This window comes from Homo sapiens, chromosome 18 (genome assembly GCF_000001405.40).
Source record: "Homo sapiens chromosome 18, GRCh38.p14 Primary Assembly".
NCBI lineage: Eukaryota > Metazoa > Chordata > Mammalia > Primates > Hominidae > Homo > Homo sapiens.
In genome coordinates this window covers 3,240,897-3,247,481 of record NC_000018.10, presented here as the reverse complement: position 1 = coordinate 3,247,481, position 6,585 = coordinate 3,240,897, and the positions used below count along the sequence as shown (strand labels likewise).

Below are 6,585 nucleotides of genomic sequence, written 5' to 3'. Positions count from 1 at the left end.
GGGCCCGTCGGCCCAAGTCCTTGTAGGGAAATCGAGGAGAGGGCTGCGGGCCCACGTGACTGACCCTCGCCCCGCCCCGAAGCCGGGCTCCAGCTTGTGGGCGGTAGTGCGCCTGCGCTTGACGCCCCGCGCGGGGTCTGGGTCTCCGCCTGAGGGCCCCGGAGCAGTGCGCGTATCCCGGGAGCGGATCTTGATGCTAGCTCTGTGTGCAGTGTAATTTTATTAAGAGTCCCGCCCCCTCCATACGGGAGGAAACGTGTGTCCCTGGGGCCCTCAGCCAAGCCTCCACTATCTTTTTGGCCCAGACGGATTTCCCAGGTCACAAGTGGCTGGAGACTTCCTCTTGAAAAACATTTGCCGTCGTTTTTCCCTGGCAGAGCCCCTTTGACCCTGGCTAACAAGGACAGCCTGACTTGGATCCCACTATGCAGGAAGGAAGGCGACTCTTCCCCGCACCTCTTGCTACGATTAGGACTTGCGACTTGGTGAAAACAGGAATCAAAACTTGGGCCTATTTCTCCTGAGGTCTGCTTGCCTAGAACAATTCGTAACGATGAATCTTATTAAAAAGAGAAAGTCCTCCCCGACTTTATCTTTTTCCGCCCAGAATCCGATAAGGAAGACTTGTTCTGGCCCCCTCAGCTCTCTGACCTCACCTACCAGAGGAGAGAGTGGGATCCTCTAACACTCGAGCCGTCATCCCAGCACTAGGGGACAGTGACCAGTGTGGCTCCCGTGGCCAGAACCCTTCTGAAGTTTGGGTTGCCCTGTGGTCTTCGCCTTCAAAGCAGGCCGCCACTTGAATCCTTCTGGAACGGACAGTGTTGCTGTAAACGCCGCGGAATAGTATCTTCTAAGTATTCGTAGCTTCTTTCTTGAGGGATCTCGGGAACGTTCCGTGTATTAACCACTAACGTATTCCAAAGTTAACTTCGTGGTAAAGTCGCTGGGGAAAAAAATAACTGCTCCAGTTCCACAGGTGATTGAAACAAAAGTGATCTGTTTCCCAAACTTCCTTGATGGTAAAGAATGACTTGGGGTACTAATTAAAAATAAAAATAATTGCGTCATTTCCAACCTACTAAATCGGAGTCTTTAAGGGCAGGTCCTGGGAAGCCATCCATGTAATGGGGGTCCTAAGTGGGCTCTTATCGGCGAGGGCGGGGACTCAGCGAGAGGGCTGGCAGCGACGGGACAAACCCCAGACGGCTGCGCGGATGCGTTTGTTCCTGGAGCTTGCGAGCACTTGCAATGCATGGACACCTCCACAGGGTGGTGGCCTGCCACCACGAGAGCACCAGCTCCGCCAGCGTCCTCTCCAGAGGACACTTTAGAGCAGAAAGAAACGGACAGTTCAGTCTTCCCCTCAGCTTGAAGGCAGCATTCTTTTGCTTCTCTTTGAGTCAGGTAATTGTTTTGTCTTCCTTCCACTCAGTCAGCAGGTATTAAACAGCAACCGCATTGCCAAGCACTGTGGTGGGGGCTGTGGCTTATGCTTTCCGGAGCAGAACATAGTTGTTGCTACCTTGGGGATGGGGGCGGGAGGAATAGAAAAAATGCGGAGTTAGCGGAGTATCAGGGAACAAGGGTGGAACAGATATAATAATTGCAGTACAGTTAGTTAGGGCCTATTGAAGGAGCACAAACGAAGCGTAAACTTGTCTGGGAACTAGTGGAAGGTGTCCCCCAGGGGATGTTAAAGAGCTAATTCTAGAATTAATTCAGTGGGGAAAGAAAAGGAGAGGGAGATGCCAGGCAGAGGGAGCAGCATGCCTGATTGTCTGGAGGTGATCAGAGGGCCTGGCTGATTGAAGATGAACAGGAATTGTGTAGTCTGTGTTCATTCATTCATTTATTCATTCCACAACTATGGATTTAAAAACGGTTAGTCAACCAATGTGGAAAAATAGCATCTCGATAAAATGTTCTTCAAATGTCCACCTAGTATTTTGATACTCAGTTTTCATGACTGGACCCACCATCAAAGGCCTCTGACTCTGATATTTCTATCCTTTGGACCCTATGGGAGATCTTTGCCTCCATGTGATAATCTCCTTCTCACGTTTTTACTAAAAGTTTGGAGACTTGAATTCTGCTCCAAATAGAGTGAAACAGGGTCTTGCTCTATTGCCCAGGCTGGAGTGCTGTGTTCTATCACAGCTCACTGCAGCCTCCATCTCCCAGGCTCAAGCCATCCTCCCTCAATCTTTTGACCAATACTCATAGTAAGAAATTTATTTCACTAAGAAATACTTGACTACCTATAATGTTTTTCAAGGATTTCTATTCTGTTCTTTTCAATTCTGTTATTAGTCTGCTTTAGCTGCCATACAAAATACTACACACTGGGCGGCTTAAACAACAGAAATTTATTTCTTATACTTCTGGAGGCCGGGAAGTCCAAGATCAAAGTGCTGGCCAATTCGATTGAAGGCCCTCATCCTGACTTGCAGATAGTCAGTCGCCTTCTCCCTGTGTTCTCATGTGGCAGAGAGATCTCACTCTCTTCCTCTTTTTTTTTTTTCCTTTTTAAATTTTTTTTTTTGTATTTTTATTTTTTTACTTTTATTTACTTATTTTTTTGAGATGGAGTCTCACTCTGTCGCCCAGGCTGGAGTGCAGTGGCACGATCTCAGCTCACTGCAACCTCTGCCTCCTAGGTTCAGGTGATTCTTGTGCCTCAGCCTCCCAAGTAGCTGGGATTACAGGCATGTGCCACCACGCCTGGCTAATTTTTTTTTTTTTTTTGTATTTTAGTAGAGACGGTTTCACCATGTTGGCCAGGCTGGTTGCCAACTCCTGACCTCAGGTGATCCACCCGCCTCAGCCTCCCAAAGTGCTTGGATTACAGGCATGAGACGCCACACCTGGCCTCTTTTTTTGTACTTTTAGTAGAGACAGAGTTTCACCATGTTGGCCAGGCTGGTCTCAAACTCCTGACATCAAGTGATCTGCCCGTCTGTGCCTCCCAAATGGCTGGGATCTCTTCCTCTTATGAGCCTTCAGTGTTAATGGAATTAGGGCCGACCGTTATGACTTCATTTAACCTTAATTATATTTTAATTATATCTCCAGATACAGTCACACTGGGGGTTAGGCCTTCAACATATGAATTTGGCAGGGAGGGGACACACAATTCAGTCCATAGCAAATTCTATGTCATTTAATTTTTAGAATACCTCTCAAGGCCCACTAAATGTGAGCTTATGATCCACTATTGCAGTGGTTCTCAATAGTGGAGGAGTGGTGGTTGGGTTTTGCCCTGAAGGAACATTTGGCGATGTCTGGAGAGACAGTTTTGCTTTTCACAAACGGGACAGATACTGCATCTAGTGGGGAGAAGCCAGGGACGCTGCGAAACATCCTACTATGCACAGGACGGCCCTCGACAACAGAACGTTATTCAGCCCAAAAAGTCAGTAGTGCTTAGGTTGAGAAAACCCAGCACTAATCATTTGGAAACTCAATATTTATAGCAATCAATTATTTCGGGAGTACTATAATTTCTACAAGGTCACTATCCATTGCTCCTGCCTCAGAGTAAGGTGGTGGTGTTTTTTTTCCCCAAGTGAGATCTAAAGGGAGAAAAAAATGGAATGGACAGTTATTATTATCTGTGCCTATTATGTGCTAGGTATTCTATATAAACATTTCTAATATATAATTCTTACAACAACCCTGTGAGATAGACATTATTACCTCCGTTTCATTGATTGGGACACAAGCTCAAATACTTGAATGATCTGCACAGGTTTCCCAAAAGGTAATGAAAGAACCTGGGTTATAAATCCTGTCTCTGATTGTCCGGGGGTAGAATAGAAAGGAAAACAGTAAATATGTGGATATTTATCCACATATCTCTAACTCCTAATACAATGCCTAATATCCACAGGTGCCGGTAAATACATGGTAACTGGTCAATTGTTCAAGTGCACATAGCTAGTAAGTGGCCCAGCCCGAAGCCCATATTTTATTTTACTGTACTGTGCTTTCTCCTTTGGTCCAAAGTAGGAAAATTTCGTTACCCAAACAACAGCAAGGAAGCATAGCAGAATGGATCCTTGGTATTTACAACCTAAGTCAATGATTTTATATGGATCACTTGCAATTTTTATTGCATGTAAGAAACTATTGAATGTTAAGGGACATGGCTTACATTCTGGTTTTGCCTACATACATGGAATTCTAATTCTTCATACATGAAATATTTATGATGTAACAATTAGCATTAATCCTTTAATTCAGGAAAACAGTAGGAGGAGCTCCTTTCTTTTAAATGAATAAGCGTTTACATAAATCTGTATAATAATTAATTTTAGAGCACCAAAACTACAAATAATATATTACAAAGATATAGAAGATTCTACATATATAAAGAATTGCTTTTTAAAAAACTTTAGTCAGAATTATCATTAAAGTCAGGGATGATAAATGAGATAAAAAATTATGTGAAATTGAATTAAGGGTATTTGGGGATACTTATTACTTCCATACTAGAAAATTTGAAAAAATAAGTTAAATAGATACATGCTTAGAAAAATTAAAATACTAAATGAGATGTAAGAACAGAGAATATGAATAAAGCAAACAAAAAAAGGAATAAGGATTATATAGATAATAAATTATCTGGCAGTATTAGTCTGTTTTCATTCTGCTGATAAAGACATACCCGAGGTCAGGCGCAGAGGCTCATGCCTGTAATCCCAGCACTTTGGGAGGCCAAAGTGACTGGATCGCTTGAGGTCAGGAGTTCGAGACTAGCCTGGCCAACATGGTGAAACCCCATCTCTACTAAAAATACAAAAATTAACTGGGCGTGGTGGTGCGTGCCTGTAATTCCAGCTACTCGGGAGGCTGAGGTTGGAGAATCACTTGAACCTGAGAGACGGAGGTTGCAGTGAGCCGAGATCATGCCGCTGCCCTCAAGCCTGGGCTACAGAGCAAGACTCCATCTCAGAAAAGAAAAAAAGACATACCTGAGACTGGGTAATTTACAAAAGAAAGAGGTTTAATGGACTTACAGTTCCATGTGGCTGGGGAGGCTTCACAATCATTGCGGAAGATGAAAGTCACATCTCACATGGTGGCAGAGAAGAGCTTATGCAGGGAAACTCTCCTTTTTAAAGCCATCAGATCTCATGAGACTTATTAACTATCATGAGAATAGCACAGGAAAGAACTGCCCCCATGATTCAATTACCTCCCACTGGGTCCGTCCCACAACACGTGGGAATTTAAGATGAGATTTGGGTGGGGACACAGAGCCAAGCCGTATCCTTCCACCCTGGCCCCTCCTAAATCTCATGTCCTCACTTTTCAAAACCAATCATGCCTTCCCAGCAGCCCCCCAAAGTGTTATTTCAGCATTAACTCAGAAGTCCACAGTCCAAAATCTCATCTGAGTCAAGGCAAGTCCCTTGCACCTGTGAGCCTGTAAAATTAAAAGCAAGTTAGTTACTTCCTAGATACAAGGGGGGTACAGGCATTGGGTAAATATAGCCATTCCAAATAGGAGAAATTGGCCAAAACAAAGGGACTACAGGCTCCAAGCAAGTCCAAAATCCAGCAGGGCAGTCAAATCTTAAAGCTCCAAAATGATCTCCTTTGACTCCATGTCTCACATCCAGGTCACGCTGATGTAAGAGGTGGGTTCCCACGGTCTTGGGAAGCTCTGCTCCTGTGGCTTTGCAGGGTACAGCCTCCCTCCTGGCTGCTTTCCCAGGCTGACGCTGAGTGTCTGTTGCTTTCCAGGCACACAGTGCAAGTTGTCGGTGTATCCATCACTCTGTGGTCTGGAGGACAGTGGTCCTCTTCTCACAGCTCCACTGAGTGGGGCCCCAGTAGGGAGTCTGTGTTGGGTCTCCCACCCCACATTTCCTTTCTGCACTGCCCTAGCAGAGGTTCTCCATGAGGGCCCCGCCCCTGCAGCAAACTTCTGCTTGGGCATCCAGGTGTTTCCATACAACCTCTGAAATCTAGGTGGAGTTTCCCAAACCCCAATTTTTGACTTCTGTGCACTGCAGGCCCAACACCATGTGGAAGCTGCCAAGGCTTGGGTCTTGCACCCTTTGAGGCCACGGCCCGAGCTGTACCTTGGCCCCTTTCAGCCATGGCTGGAGCAGCTGGGATGCAGGGCACCAAGTCCCTAGGCTGCCTGCAGCATAGGGACCCTGGACCTGGCCCATGAAATCACTTTTTCCTCCTTGGCCTCCAGTCCTGTGATGGGAGGGGCTGCCATGAAGACCTCTGAGATGCCCTGGAAATATTTTCCCCATTGTCTTGGGATTAACATTCACCTCCTCGTTACTTATTCAAATTTCTGCAACCGGCTTAAATTTCTCCTCAGAAAATGGAATTTTCTTTTCTATTGCATTTTCAGGCTGCAAATTTTCCAGACTTTCATGCTCTGCTTCCCTTACAAAACTGAATGCCTTTAACAGCACCAAGTCATCTCCTAAATTCTTTGCTGCTTAGAAATTTCTTCTGCCAGATACCCTAAATCATCTCTCTCAAGTTCGGAGTTCCACAAATCTCTATGGCAGGGGCGAAATGTCACCAGTCTCTTTGCTAAAACATAGCAAGAGT

General features: G+C 45.5%; 1 protein-coding gene across 1 annotated transcript in view; it reads left to right on the top strand.

The window, feature by feature from the left end:
- The window catches only part of MYOM1 (myomesin 1), a 180,570-nt gene continuing 174,090 nt past the window's right edge, over nt 106-6,585 (top strand). Inside the window, exon 1 of the mRNA XM_047437910.1 lies at nt 106-1,407. The gene's annotated coding sequence lies outside the window, so the exon portion shown is untranslated. The remainder of the gene's footprint in view (nt 1,408-6,585) is intronic.